At 32.0% G+C, this 17,175-nt stretch overlaps 1 long non-coding RNA gene across 3 annotated transcripts in view; it reads right to left on the reverse strand.

Annotated features, from left to right (window-relative positions):
* Positions 1–7,550: 7,550 nt before the first annotated feature.
* Positions 7,551–17,175, reverse strand: part of LOC105370286 (uncharacterized) — a 97,595-nt gene continuing 87,970 nt past the window's right edge. For all 3 annotated transcript variants that reach the window (XR_942129.2, XR_001749945.1, XR_001749947.1), the window contains one exon: positions 7,551–7,666. This is a non-coding gene — a long non-coding RNA (uncharacterized LOC105370286). The remainder of the gene's footprint in view (positions 7,667–17,175) is intronic.

Raw genomic sequence — 17,175 nt, forward strand, 5'->3', positions numbered from 1 at the left:
CTATCCTAGAACGTAGCTCAATAATTGCACCCAATGGCTATTGAATAAATTATTTGTCATTGGACTTATTTGAAGAAAGTCAATGTCTCTGTATTTGCCTTTATAAAATGTTCATTTTGGTTCTTTAGATCTAAGTTTAATATGTGATTTATTCTTTGGAAGTAAGTTATTTTTATACTTTAATTAATTTTAAATAAAGGTTTTTTTTCTGTTAGATGAGGAGCATTGTTTGCTTTCTGTTACTTTTTCTGTAATTTTCCTTCATGTTCAAATCAATCTGCTCCAGTCGCTCTGTGCATGAATGAACACAATTATGTGTGTTTTTTCCTCCCAATTTAAAATGTCCTTAGACATCCTCATAAAAATATTTTATAATTACATTGTAATTTTGGTATATGAAGGCTAGATAATAACATATATTAATTAACCTTGGCAATATTTATTACTGATATAAGATTAGATCTTTATGAAAGGATGGCTCATTTTGCCATTCCTCTTTTGAAGATTAAGCTTGATGGTAATACAAATATCATATTTATCATCAAGACTGTCAACTGTTGAATAGTGAAATAATCCTTAATTATTCTATTGGAGTGCATCTTCATTATTTCATGTTGATTACCTTTTTTCCTCTCCAGTGTATATGCAGCAGACTAGTTTTGGTCCAACAAACAGTAAGACTGTGTCTCTATAATGTCAGTTATTTACATGATGAGTAAAATTCAATTACTCTAAAACTGATAACTGGTGTGCAATTAGAGAACTGAAGCTAGAAATTTGCTTTCTTGTTTTTTCTTAAGATTAAAGCTGAAATGATGTAGGCCTCTGGACTCTCGCTGTAAAAGTAGTTAAAAATAATAATCAGAATCTGCTAGGAGAAAAACTTTCAGAAGAACTAGAGTATAAGTACCCTGATCATAATAAATATTTTAAGTCTTGTGTACAGAGTATAAAATGATACATTATATCTATATATACCATTTTATTTTCTCCCAAGCTACTTCTTTGCAATTATGTAGACATGGGTTGAATGTATTTACATTTAAGGTTCTCCCTTTCATTCATGTTACTGCCCATTTGCAAGTTCTATTATGCTTGAAAATTAAAATAATATATAATTTCTATCTTAAAAAGAGTTTTAAATTACCCTTAGAATAGGATATCAAATAGCAGCAGCAGAAAGGATGCCCTGGTTAGGACTCTACACAAATGTTATCACTCAACAATATTTCTGAGTGAATGAATGAATATATATACGCATGGGATGAGAATCACTCCGTGTTATGAAAAAATGCCTACAAGTTACCACCAGATCCATTCCATTTATCTATTTGTACACATGTTATTTTAGATTAAAACATTTTTGTATTTCTAATAATCTATCTTTTCTACTGGATTCTAGAAAACTTGATCCCATTTCTCTGGTTTTTAGGTTTCACTCTTCCATAAATATTGAGCTCATGACACCTCCTCATTGGTGCCCCTGGCTCAAACTTAATTTCCCTTTTTTTATTACTAGTGACAGCATAGCACAATTTACTACCTTATTATTCTCTAATTTTATGTAAACTTTGCTTATCTAGTTCAGTAGATAGCTCTTTTAAATCACCAATAAGGTTTTATTTTTCTGTTTTTTTTTCTTCCTTCAAGGAACAACCCAAGAAATATGGCAGCAAATGTTGAATGGGTATATTATACCTGCATGACTAATTAATTAAGTCATTGATTGACTGAACTTTCTACTCAGTGTAATCTCTTCTAAGCAATCTTCCAAAGTGAAAAGACAGCCCTGGGCTAATATATTTAAACAACATTGGATAATAATGCCTCTTCCCTTGTCAGTTTAGACTTATTCATATGTAAATGAATAGTTGCATATATGTGACTCTGTCATTTGAATATGGAGAAAGAGGAAAAGCAGAAAAAAAGAGACAATATAAACATCACCACTGTAAAGAACATTAGCTCTGAAGCCAAAATGCCTGTATTCTCACCTCAGCTCTGTCATATATTAGCACTTTTATCTTGAGAAAATTACTTAACTTCGGTGTCTTAATGTCCTCATTCAGAAAACGGGGATAATTTGTAACCATTTCATACCTTTCTTCATGGAGAATAAATAGGAATTCAATGTGAAGTAGCCAGAATAATACTCAAATATATATGTGTTAAAATATATATAGGATAAATGATAAGCTGTTTGTATATGCATTACAGATATACACATAGTTCATACTTTACCCTATATTGTGATCACCATAATATTGTCATTCTTAGACATTCTTTCAAGACTCCTTGAGAAGTTTCTTTTCTTTTTTTTTTTTTTTTTTTTTTTTTTTTGCGACGGAGTCTCACTCTGTCAACCAGGCTGGAGTGCAGTGGCAAGACTCAGCTACTCAGCTCCACCTCTCACCCCCACACCCCCCGAGTGATTCTCCTACCTCAGCTACCTCAGTCTCCCAAGTAGTTGGGATCACATATGCACAGCACCATGCACAGCTAAGTTTTTGTATTTTGGGTAGAGACGGGGTTTCACCATGTTGGCCAGGCTGGTCTCGAACTCCTGAGCTCAAGCCATTCACCCGCCTCAGCTTCCCAAAGTGCTGTGATTGCAGGCATAAGCCACTAGGCCAGACCCTTGACAAGTTTCTTTGGGGATGTTTAATAGTTAGAAAAAAACTAAGTCAACTCCTGGGAAAGAACGCACTATCAGGGAACAGGTTTTAATAGTTACTATATTTAGCCTGAGCTAGTACAAATTCTCAGGGTCAGGAAAAGGATGGTTTGAGTACCAAAGAGCATGTGTCATTTTTTAATTTATTTAATTATTTTATTGTAGATTCACGGGGTACATGTGCAGGTTTGTTACATGGTTACATTGTGTGATGATGAAGTTTGGGCTTCTAATGATCCAGTCACCCATGTATTAGGTAGGTACAGAAATAATTGTGATTTTGCCATTACTTTTAATGGAAAAACCACAATTACCTTTGCACCAATCTAATATTAAACATGGTACCCTATGGGTACCACCCTTGTCCTCTTCCCTTCCCCCTCTCTTTTATATTACCTTACAATTCAGCTTGCGGTGACTGACTGATGCTCGAGTTTTAGGGAGAAAGAAATGTGGCAAGAAAATCTCTATCTGACTTTGAAGGGAAAAGCAACATAGCCCTGTAGCCCACTTATAGAAGCATAAGAATTATTGTTGGTAAGGGAAGAGACCATCCCTCATATTGTCTTATGCCCAATTTCTGCCTCCAAAGAAAGGAAAAGTAAAAACTAAAAGGCAGAAATGAAATCCACAAGCAGACAGCCCCGGGCCACACTCTAGGCCTGGTAGTTAAAGACCGACCCCTGACCTAATCGGTTATGCAATCTATAGATTACAGACATTGTATAGAAAAGCACTGTGAAAATCCCTATCCTGTTTTGCTCCGATCTAATTACCAGTGCCTGCAGCCCCCAGTCACGTACCCCCTGCTTGCTCAATCGATCACGACCCTCTCAGGCGCATGCTCGTAGAGTTGTGAGCCCTTAAAAGGGACAGGAATTACTCACTCAGGGAGCTCGGCTCTTCAGACAGGAGTCTTGCCAATGCCCCCGGCCGAATAAACCCCTTCCTTCTTTAACTCGGTGTCTGAGGAGTTTTGGATGCGGCTTCTCCTGCTACATTGGCAAATGATGACATAGACACAACCGCTTAAGATACATCCAGTATGAGGAATGGCTGGCAAGTAAATTAGTTTATGAGTCACTAGTGCAAGAGTTAGCTAGGAAATTAGACTTTGCAGTGATTTAGAGTTGTTTGTGGTTTTGGGGTAATTTTCTAGCATTTCCTATCATTTTTGGTAGAACTGATCCTACTATTAGTAGTAGGAGTTTTTAATGTCAAAAAACAAAAGAAGATTAAAAGTTAGACCTCAAAGAGTAATTCACTAAATATTATATGGCTTGCTTAAAAATTTTACAAAGTGGAACAGAAATAACACGTAAGTTTTCCTTCTGATCCAGAATTTTGTACCATGCTTTCCTCCCATCATTACCTAGATTTTCATATATCATTAGTGATCAAAGTCACTAGGAAGATTTTTCAAAAATCCTGAGTCTAGTCATTGAAAATTTGACTCATTATATCAATGGCTGGTCCGAGAAGCCATAGTTTTTGTAAATCTTTTTTTCTGAATCTGAGACATGGTCAGCTTTGGAAGCCACTAACCTAGACTGTTAAATGATTGCTCTTAAATTTTATTCTTTATCTTGTTTTGGAATCAGCTAGCATAGGTAAGTATCCTAGGGTCAGCCATGTATTAGCTGTATAATCTAAGACAACTTTTTAGAATTTTATAATTCTCTTCTTTGAAATGATGGAATAAGACCTATTAGGCAGCAGTGTTCGGAAGACTAAAGATAATGTGATATGATCTGTCATATGTACTCAACGAATGATATTTCTTATTAGGTCAAAATGATGTGGTAATAAAAATAGCCCCAACATGTTATAAATGTTCATTAACAAGCCTTAGATATATATATATATATATATATATATATATATATATATATGTGTGTGTGTGTGTGTGTGTGTGTGTATATATGTGTATATATATGTGTGTATATATATGTGTGTATATATATGTGTGTATATGTGTATATATAGTGATTTTTATATATAGTGATTTATATGTGTATTATATACATATATGTATATATATACATATATAATCTTACAATGGTATATTTTAAGAGCACTTTCTTATAACAGTTTTTATATACTTGAGATAGGCTTATATCATTACAATTCACAATTTATAACAAACAGTTGAAAAAAAGTCAAAACTGAGATTTTACTGAACTGAAATTCTATTTTATTTGTCAAAATACATAAGTTATTAAATAAATGAAACATCTTTCACAGGTAAACTACTTAGTTTATTGAATTAACTAACAAGAAGGATTAATATTCACTATTTTAATTGTAAGAACAGTCTATCTCATTATTTTTACAACGAGCTGATTATTATTGTTAGGTTTGTTATGTTTTCTTAATACTACTTTGAAAATTAAATCCAAATATTTAAATTATTTAATATGAGTTAAATCTTGGAGTTGGCCAGTTGATTTCCACTTTTAGGATTTTGAACAAGTCATAAAATCTATGTAACTCAGATTTCCAGTTTGCAAAGTACTATTTACTTTATGTTTTATTATTTCTGTTTTATGAATTATTCCAAAATATGCTATTTTACTACCCAGCTTTGAAATATTTTACTATCAGAAATATTGTATAGTTATGAAATTGAGGTTCACTATATGAAAAAATTAATATACAACATCAAATTTAATTCAGTTCTATATCTTCCTATGAACTAATACAAAGATTAAAATGGTTGATATTTATAATATTAGAATTTTCTATTTTATCTGAAGTCATTTATCAAAACCTATTTCTATAAAGTGCCTTGAATACTTTTACGATACACACACACATACAAACATGTATATACTATATACACGTTTTTTGTTTTCACAAAACATTCTTTAGTACAAATAGTTTCAACTGCTTCATGTTTGCAATCAGATTATATCATTCATAAAGATTGTTACCAACTGGCATTTTTGTTTTGCTTTGTAAATATATATTATATATAAGTATATATATGTTAATATAAAAGCTAGTAAGTGTATACACATTGTTTGTATACACAATGACATATACATTCAATTTGTTTTGGAAGATATGAATAAACATTTTTTATTCAAAAATTTAGCTGTTTAAGAGTTTAAATTAAAGAAAACTTATTTACTAAAGACCTTTACATACTTTTGCAATTTTTCCTAGTCCTAATTTACAATGTTCATGGCCAAGATCTGTATTATAATCAGCATTACTATTCAATGTAATTCAGAGAATCAGCACATGTAGTCCTAATATTGAATCATATTTTATAATTCTCTATTCTATTACAAAGACTCCAAAGTGCGGTATGCAATGCACTTGAAAGATGTTATTAAATTTCTATAGCAACAAACAGCAAAAAAAAAAAAAGTGACGGAATTATAACAGATATGCTGGATCTGCTTGACATTCAAATTATGTTAGGATAAAGATGTTTCTGATCATGAATGGAAGCATACAAGTAGAAAGAAGAAATAAAAAATATGTAATCCTTATATTCAAGGCAGTTCAAATAGAGAAGCAAATATCTAATTTAACGAGAAGCAGAGTAAATCAGTATTGTACTACAAGTACAAATATTCACACTGATTATAAGAATTTTCATTTGTGTGAGGAAATAGTCTTCTTCATAAAGAAATTTATGTTCAACTTTAGAAGATAATAAGTTTTAAGGAAATAGAGAAGGAAGTAAGGAAAAAAGGGAAGAATTTTAGAAAAGACACATAGTAGGAAGAGTACCATATGCTCCTCTTCTCAGAAAATGGCAAATTGGCATTTGACTGAAGAAAGATTTGGGGATAAAATACGAAATAAAAAAGGGAAAAGTCAAGTGACATATCATATTCCTCATGGAATATGGAAAGGTCCTCAACCTTTCCAGCGAAATATAAGGAACTTGGTCTTTTATACTCACCAAACAGTTGTTAAGAGAGTAATGCTTTAATTTAAATTGTGTTTTAGCATACCAGCTATGCAGAGCACAAAGAATAAAGTAGGAGACTCAATTTTGGGTGAATAATTAAACCACTATGAGGCAAGGAGCACTGAAATTTTGAATAAGCAGATGAAGTAGGAAGAAAGAAGGAAATACAAAATATTAAAACAACTTATTTTATGTTTAAAGGTGAGGTTAAATGAAAGCAGTGACTTTGAGATTTGTAGCCTTGGTGACTGAGAGGATATGACAACACAAAATAAAATATTATCGTACAAAAACCAAAATCAATTTAAGAATCCTACAAAATAATGTATGATTTTCTGAAAATCAACTAAAATTACTATTTAAAATATCTTATTATTTATGAGATATTTATTTAGAAAATCCAAAACTTTATAAATTTTAGCATATTAGAGATCTAAGCACCAAAAAGTAAGTGGCTTCATTTAAAATAAAAGAGATTTGTACACGTAACAATCCATTAAATACCACCCTCACTATTAAGTCTCTTGAATATGATTGGGACATTCCCCCACGATAAAAATAGTTAATTCTCAGAGGTCATATTAGATGACATGATTTAGTTTACTAAACGTAGTTAAACATAGTTTACTATGTTTAAAACCTTTCTCAGCTGGGTGCAGTGGCTCAAGCTGAGTAATCCCAGAACCGCGTAATCCCAGCACGTTGGGAGGCCAAGGCAGGTGGATCACCTGAGGTCAGGAGTTCGAGACCAGCCTTGCCAACATGGTGAAACCCTGTCTCTACTAAAAACACAAAAATTAGCTGGGCATGGCAGGGCATGCATGTGGTCCCAGCTACTTGGGAGTCTGAGGCAGAAGAATCACTTGAACTCAAGGGATAGAGGTACAGTGAGCCGAGATGGCACCGCTGCACTCTACCCTGGGCAAAAGAGCAAGACCCCATCTCATATTAAAAGAAAAAAAAAAAAAACTTTCTCACCTCAGTATTTAATAAGTGGCTGTTTTTTCAGGCTGTTGCTTCATAATAGAAAATAAAGAGTCATGTGTGATCTTCGTTGTGAGTACCTGTAAATGTTACAAAATTAGAAAACTATTCATTAAATGTTAGATGCAAACAAGTGTGATGAAACTTCCTATGTTTTGATAATGGTGTATAAAAGAAATTCACAGAAACTGCCTAACTTCGATTTTACTTAATCTCTTCAATCTCCCTATACTAAAAATTTAACCAAATGATTTAATATTAGCTAAAATTCCCCTGATTCAATGTGTCCTCTGACACAGATGCCAGCACAATATCAAGCGGCCAAAACACTTGCAAGGCAAGAATCCAAAAAAAGAAAAAAAAGATGAAGAAGTAGTTATTAATTTTAAACTAATTTATAAACTTGTGCATGAAAAGGATGTGGATTAATTGAGCTATTTACCAATTCCTAATATGATGGTAATTTCATGACATAAAATGTTTAAATTTAGTTAAATAAAAAAGACTAGGCTTGTATAGCTCTATTAATGATTCATTTATGACTTTGGAAAATTTATAGGTCTCCTCTATGTGTGTTGCAGGTTTTATGACATAAGGATACTGAATCTAAAAGAAATGAGTAAAATATGAGGTTACATGCTTATATTAGCCTTGAAAATTATTAATGACAGTAATTGGAAAGGAATAACAAAAAAAAATGGTAAATCCTGGTTCTAACCAAAGTTTCCTTTAAAATCTAATCTGTTAGTTTTCCTATAGGTTGCTATTATCTTCATTAACCTAAAAGCCTTTCGAAGACATGTGCTTTAGAAACATATCCTAAAAATTGCTAATGATGGAGAAAGAATCCAGCACATTTGTAGTTTTCTAGACACTAGCTAATGTGTTCTCTACTTTATTAGGCTTAGCTTTAAAACGTGGAATATAAAGAAAAGGAAGATTGATTTAATAAAGTTAGGCTGGGTGCCATGGCTCACACCTATAATACCAGCACTTTGGGAGGCCAAGGCGGGTGGATCACAAGGTCAGGAGTTCAAGACCAGCCTCGGCAATATGGTGAAACCCCGTCTCTACTAAAAATACAAAAATTAGCCAGGCATGGTGGCGGGTGCCTGTAGTCCCACCTACTCGGTAGGCTGAGGCAGGAGAATCGCTTGAACCCGGGAGGTGGAGGTTGCAGTGAGCCAAGATCACACCACTGCATTCCAGCCTGGGCAACAGAGCAAGACTCTGTTTAAAAAAAAAAAAAATAGACTAAGTTAATTGGATTAAAGAATCTTCAGATTGGGAAAAATACATATGGGGATCTAGCCTGAAAGCATGGCATTATAATAACAGCTACTATTTGCTACAAGCCCATAAGCCAAAGTACCAGAGTCTTAACGTCATTTATTTAATTGTCACATTTTAATAGGTGTTATAATTAACAAATTTTATTTTATGGATGAGGAACCTGAGGCCCAGCAAGCATCATTAGTTCATTAAAGCCTATCCTGCTTGCACATGGGAGGTCCAGTGTTTTCACATACAAATATTTAACTGTCAATACTTTCATCTTTCTGCTACCCTATTCCTCAAATAAACTATTTAGTGTAAAATATTGGTGTTAGGTGCATTAAGGTCAGCGTTTGTCTATAACTCTGAGATGTTTTCTTCCAACAGATGGATTGCCTGTTGACTATGCCCAGCTTTTCCTTTAATTTTTGAACCTCAGTGAATTATTCAACAAATGTAAATAGTATCACTTTTATACAACTATAATTAAATTTAGAATCTTTGTCCCAGATTTAAATTAATCAATTGTCAGAGTACATCTTTTTCTATTGTCTTTTATTTAACCTTAATAAAGGATCAAAGTGACTAGCACAACCTCTACAACATTAACTCTAATTTGAGCCTTTGACACCTGCATTTTAAGGTCTTCATAGTTTTATCTTCGTAGGCATAATGATTCGTTTTGAAAAGATGAATATGAACTGGGTTATCAATACAACCATATAATTATATTTCAGTGTGTGTTCTTCTTTCTCAGTCTCTATTCCTGCTTGTAATCAGTATTAGTTTGCATGTTTCAAAAACATTTAACATAAATTAGAGGCCCGAGAATGGGCTTTGCATGCTAAAGATGTGGCTTCCTGGAACTTCTTTGTATAAATTTTCAATCATCTACTTTGCTCTTATATAGATCTTTGATTTATCTTTGATGCATTCCACCATTTATATAAAATTTAGAGATTGATTTAGGCATTAAATTTCTGAAGGAGGTGAAAGCAGCTCATCATTTTTCTTCTGCTTAAAAGAGTTAGATCTACATTAAGATCATTTTCCATTTCTCTTGGGCCTTTTAAATTGTGTTCTTAGGTGAGAACAATGAATTACCTGACAGAAAAAGGTTTCACCTGCACTGCCAAACTTCCATTGCATGATAAAAGGATCTTACGCAGTTTTTATGTAGCCCGTAATGGCTGCTGGCAGGCAACTGTGACAGGCAAGGACCAGACAGCACCTTTATTTCACAGATCACACAAAACAGCTAGTGCACCAGGGAAAGGGGTGCAATGAAGGGTAACTCCAACTCACTTCATTTGGAGGAGACATGGCTTACATTTACCTTTCCAACTTTGAACAAAATTGCAGGATTGCAATAAACCAAACTTTCCAAAAGGAAAAATGGTTTGGAAGATTACTTGAACTAGTAATAAATGTATCATAAAATGTAAGAATAATGTTATTAATATATAAAATTGTTCAGGATGAACCTTGAAAACATGATACTAGGTGAAAGAAGACAGACAAAAGGCCATATATTACATAACTCCATATATACGAAATGCCGAAACGGGCAAATCAATAAAGATAGAAAGTAGATTGATACCGGGGATAGAGGAAGGGGGAGGAAGGTGTAGGGAGGGACTGCCAACAAGTACGTCTTTCTTTTTAGAGTGGTAAAGGTCTTGTGGATTAAATAATGGTGATGGTTGTACAACTTTACAAATACAGCAACGGCAACTGAAATGGACACTTTAAACAACTGAATATTACGGTATATTAATTATACTTTAAAAAATAGTCCCAGATGTAATATTTTGAAGATGTTCAAAGCTAAAAAATCTAGGGAAAAAAATAGAAATTTGACAAAATGCTACAAAGTCAAAATTTAATAAGAACGCATATTCTAAAGTTAATTATTCTCAGACACTTGAAAAACCCTTAAACTAGAATGTAAAGTTAAATATTCCAGACAATAGCTGAGACATGAAGTTCTAAAGTTTTCAAATATATTTCCTTTTATAATAAGTATGAGATTTGAAATCCAGGAGTCCCTAAACTCTTAGCCTAAAAGTACTGAAGAATTAGCCTCACAAGGCACGCATATAAAATAGCCGTTGTGGTGGTGTTGTGACTCAAGCAAAACAGTAGCAACAACAACAGCAACAACAAAAACAGCCAAGTAAGCCAGGGTTAATGTTTGTATTGGTGCTATTTATTCTAATTCTAATTTTACTTTCTAGTATGGATACATACTTCAGTGTCATAATATTATTCTGAAGATTAAAATTCTGTGACCATAAGAACCTAACTTTCTTCTCTCTTTCTCTTTCTGTCTCTCTTGAAAATGTGCACTCTAAGAAGCTTTGTTTTAATGAAATGGCATAGTAAAATAGCTTTTTGCCAAATAAAACCATTAAGTTTATATAATAATATTATAGCGATTTAAATGCACTGTTGGTAAGTATATTGCTTATTGAAAAGCAATCGTGTTTATGGCTTACTCAAAACTTTATTTTTTCCCCCACGCACATTCAAATGCAGCTGAAACCACAGTAAAATTTTGGCAATGTAGAAACTCTGGCCAAAAATGTATATTAGTCATGCAAATTCCTTCATTACATATTTTTCAGCAGAAAAGAATAATTCAAACAAAGCATCTTATTTCCTGCACCTGTATTGTTCACACGTTGAATGGCACATAAAAATAAATGTTTTACATTCTGATTTGCAGTTACTTATTCTTATTTCCTAAGCTAGCTCTTTAATGACACAGTGAAAATGTGTTTCAGTATCATGAAGCTAACATTTTAAGCCTAATAGGAAAAGAACTCACGGAAAAACATAAAGAGTAACAGTATAAGATATTTTAAACTTGAAAATAAGAAAACTGTAATAGATACTATTTACTAAGCATCTATTAGAAAGCAAGTTTTTATAATATACAATATCAAGTAATTCTTCATACTTGCAATTCATCATCAAAAACAAAAGTGTGAATTTATAATGCAGTTAAACTTTCTCAAAATCAAACCATTTAATAAGTAGATGTTAACATGTTAACATTTTAATAAGATTATATCGTATCACTTTGAATAAAATTCACCATAATATACAACTGATTATAGGACACACACACACAAAAACACACACACGACAAAATAAGAACAAAAAAATCTACCAAAGGTGCTATTTTGTAACCACGTATTTGTGACAGATATTTAAATTCTCCAATTGTCAAAGATGAATTATTATAGTCAATTCATTTTTTTACTCACAGAATTGTTGAAATGCACAAGAATGTTACCCTAGCATAGTGGCATAGTGATACAAAGCAGCATGAAATATCATAAATGCAACGTGTTTACACAGTTGGGTAATATTAAGTCCATTTACTTCAAGTGAGATAGTGTTATAGGCCTTGTTGTTACCATAATTTTTTGAGAAGGGAACAATATTATTACGAATAAAGCCATATGTTAATGAGAAGGTTAGTTAGCATTAGGTAGAATTTATTCATGGAATTTGAAGAAAAGATAGCATCATTTCCAAAAAAATTATTATATTGCAAATATATTTGGAAGCACAGACTGGTTACATATATAGATTCTGGGTATCTGTGTATTTCCTATCTCAATACCATTTGAATACAGTGAATGATAGTGTTCAATATTTTATAAATAAAAGCATTTTTCAAAATTTAAAAATAGCAAAAACACATTATCTTCAAAAGCTGCACAAAGTGTTTATAGTTATTTAAGTTCTGTTATATGTGTAACACATTCTCTCATTATTGTTTTTAGAACATTAATGGTATGTTCTACCATAATATGGTTTATTTAAAAATCCATTAAAATACACTCTTTACTTGTATACAAACGACAATTTCCATTTTCTTTGTATATATCCATTACAAAAATTTACTACATTATCACATATTAATGTATTTTTATATGTAAACCATTCCAGATTAAAGAATGCTAATAGGATTCTGATACTAAAATAAAAATACTATATGTATCAGATTTTGCATGACTAGCAATGACAACACTACATACTATTATGACCAAAATTTAAATAAAATCCAGCAAGGATCACTTTAGCCCAGGGGTTAGAGGATGCAGTGAGCCATGAACATGCCACTCTGACCTGGGTCACCAAAAATAATAACAATAAATAATTAATTAGAAATAAATAAAACTCAGCTAAACAGTCACACAAATATTTAAGATACCTGCCTTAATGAATAAATGAAAAGTTGAAAAAAAACTTCTGAAAATGAAACATTAAGTGCCATCTTCTACAAAGTTAGGTTGTGATTTGATGTACCCAGACCTTGATTTACTCTAGAAATATACTAGGATTATATTTTTATGGACAAAATAGGGAATAGGGCATTTATTTATTCGATGTCAATGACACTTGGTCTATGTCTCACTAGTTAACTAATTTTCAGCCAAATGAATCAGTCTTTATACCACAATGAGAGAGAGAGAGAGAGAGAGAGAGGATTAACATTTTAATGCTAGTACTAGATAGATACAGACTGTATATCCTTTCCAATTTAACTTAGAGCAGCTAGTCGAGATTTGCTTCTTTATTGAAGAAAACCTCCAAAATTAGGACAGCAATGTCCTTCATGCTTACAGCAAAGATAAATAATAAGACAAACTAACACAAATCAAGGGTAGGAAAGGCATATCACATTTTTTTGCTGTTGCTCTTATTTATATGCAGTTATTTTGTGTTTTTGTATAAATTTTGTATCTGGTGGCTGAATTCTTCAAGCCTACAGTTATAAAGTTCAACTATTGTCTGTTCAAGTGAAGCAATTAAAACATGGAGTGGAAAAGTATTTCCCAATTTACTAGTCTTATCTAACTCCAGCAAGAAGCAACTTCTCCTTGCTTTGTTATGTTAATCACAATAATGAGAGACTACAGGTGAAAAAGATGCCAGTGATGGTGAAAAAGTCATCCACATTGGGATAGGTCAAGATCAGTGCATTTAACAATGGACCTCGGAGACACTTCTCCTTAAAATAATGTGAAATATGCAAAATATATAAGGACACCTACAACTCAATAGTATTTTTTGAAAACGTAATAATTCTTTTAAAAATGAACAAAAGATTTGAATAGACATGACATCAAAGAAGATATACAAATGGCCAACAGGTATATGAAATAATTCTCACATCATGAATCATTATGGAAATCCTGCCATATGAAACAACAAAGTTGAACCTAGAAGACATTATGCTAAGTGAAATTGTCCAGTAACAGAAACACAAGTTCTGTATGATTCTATTCGTGTGAGTTATCTAAAACAGTCAAACTCATAGAAAGAGAGTGTAGACGCTAACTGCCAGGGACTGTGGAGAGGAAAAAATAGAAGTTACTATACAGCTATAAAATATCAGTTATATAAAATGGAAAAGTCCTAGAGATCTGCTATATAACATTGTGACTTTGTTAACCATACTGTGTTTTGCATGTAAAAGCTTGTTAAAAGAGTAGATTCCTTAGTAATTGCTTTTACCACAATTTTAAAAAATAGAAAAAATGTGACATAAGTCCTGGGATTACTTAAGAAATAATTTTAGTACACTAGAGTCAATTTATATTTGTATAATTCTCTCAGTTGTTCACTTGAATGTAATTTTGTAGAAATACAGTATAATATTTTTGGGAATAAATGTTAATATTCAGACAATGAGAGAATGTCAAATTAATTAACATATATATCTATATTTTTGTTAGACAGTGTTTATGTAAACCTGTTTTTCATTTCCACTTTGGAGTCATACTGACATATTTTAAGTATCCTTAAACATAATATACTATCTCTTTTTATGGTTTCAGCAGAAATATTCATTTTTATCTACAATAAAAAGGGTAAAATAGCAATATTTTGTTATTGCCATTATTTGTATGTTCTTGTTATTTTTGATTATTTTCCAGCTTTCTTCATACCAGAAGTTATCATTAAACACACTTTAAACTTGATTTCCAGCAGAGAATATAATACTAACCAACTCACACTCTTTATAGGCCTGTCTCAAGAAAATTCCACATTTGGAGCCAGTTCTCTTGTTAACAAAATCTCAGAGTATGATATAAACTCTCTACTCAATATGATTTTTAAAATATTAATTTTTATATTTCAAGAATCTTACTTTGAAAATTATAAATTCTGCAATAATTTGCATAATGTGTTATTTATTATTCATAATGTTTGATTTGTGTCTGCCCCTGAGATGCATGGGATCATGAGTGATGGGAGGATTGCCTCAAAAGAGTAAGAACAGATGAATGGAAGCTGGATAGGCAACAGCCACTATTATAGGAAATATCCTACCCATATCTATTGAGTATGCAGCTGTTGATTGATTTAACTATATTTGTGTAATTGTGTTTTTCTGCCTGCTTCATGTGATTAAAGAAAACATCAATAATATTGTACTGTATAAATAATATCTTTTTTCTATTACTCAGTGAATTGATATCAACTACCTACATTTGGTTGACTTAATAAATGCTCATTTCATTGCATTTGGAATTATTAACTATTTAAGATAATTCCTAACAGTAAGTGTATTTTTCCCCCTAACTAGATAGATAAAAGCATGAAGTGAGAGGTCTTGAAGAGATCATCATTTATCAAACATACCCCACCATGGCATTGGGGTTGGTTACGTGGGAGGGCTCATGTCACTAAAGGCAAAACTGGTACCTATTTCATTTTGCATTTTCTGGAAGACATATACTATATACTATAATTTTAGCATATAGTATATGGCGATTTAAGGTTTTGAGGTGTTGGTTTTGTAAGAATTTTTAATGGCTCATGGAGACTATGTAAGTATAACAAATACTTCATTGTACAGTTGATTTATTATTCATTATCTGTTCTGGTTGTTTAAAACTTTATTTTTTTTCCAGTTGTTTGACAGACAGTTTAGTCACATTTCTTTTTTCTGTGTTTTTTTTTTTGTTTTGTTTTGTTTTTTTTTTTTTTAGAGACAGTGTTTCATTCTGTTGCCTGGGCAGGTGTGCAGTGTTACAATCATAGCTCACTGAAGCTTTGAACTCCTATGTTCAAACGATACTCCTGCCTCAGTCTCTGGAGTAACTGGGATGAAAAGTGTGCACCACTATACCTGGCAAATTTTTAAATTTTTTTGTGGAGACAGTATCTTGCTATGTTGACCAGGCCGACCTTGAACTCTTGGCCTCCAAGCTATTTTCCCCCCTTGGCCTCCCAAAGCACCAGGATGACAGGCATGAGCCACCCCTCCCAGTCTTAGCCATGTATTTCTATACATATATTATGAGTTATTGGTGAATGACAGTAACAAGTCAAAATTGAAGTCTTGGTGTAGATATCCATAATTATAGCAAAAACTACTGGAAATGAACCAACTATCATTTTATGCAAAATGATACATAAATATCAGACAAAATAGAACTAAATCTAAAAAATGCCACACACCACAAAGAACGTGTTATATGAGTCCATTTAGATAAAGCTCAAAAACATGTTAAACTAGCCTATAGAACAGGAAGGCTGATGTCTGGAATGTGACATAAGAATGCATTTCTGGTGCTGAGAATATTTTATATTTTGAAGAGCATTGTTGCTAAACAGATGAGAAAATCATCAATGGCATGTGCATTTATATGTTAAGCTTTATTTTTAAATATTTAATAAATATATTGGAAGTAGACTGTTCTTAAAAAAATTTCCAAAGGAAAAGTACAATGGCTTTTGGAAACTCTTAAAAGATAAAAGATAAAAAATATATCCTACGTTATGAAAACAATTGACTGATATCAAATATATGGATTTTACCACATAGCAGATACAATCAGCATATTATAAATCCTAGCTTCAATTATTATTATTATTTAAATTATGCTTATGAAGATTTCTAAGAATTTTGGTATTAAATATTTAAATAAAATAAAGGAATACTAAAAATATTTGGTAACATTATACAATAAAATCAAGAAATAAATACAATAAATTGTTAAAAGTAACTCTGTATTGTATTAAAATGGCTGATTTTTCTTTTCTACTTTATACTTTTCTATATCTTTAAATTTCCTAAAATTTGCATTAAAACTTAAAAAACATTTCACCAATATTCTCATTCCCATTTACCCAATGATTATAAGACCGAATTTTATTTCGTCTAAATGGTTTTACGTACAGGAAAACAATAATATTATTTATAATAAAGGAATTAACCAAGACTTGATATTCATCTAAAGGAGATCATTGCAGGCTGGGTGCTGTGGCTCACGCCTGTAATCCC

This window comes from Homo sapiens, chromosome 13, assembly GCF_000001405.40.
Source record: "Homo sapiens chromosome 13, GRCh38.p14 Primary Assembly".
In the NCBI taxonomy this organism is placed as follows: Eukaryota; Metazoa; Chordata; class Mammalia; order Primates; family Hominidae; genus Homo; species Homo sapiens.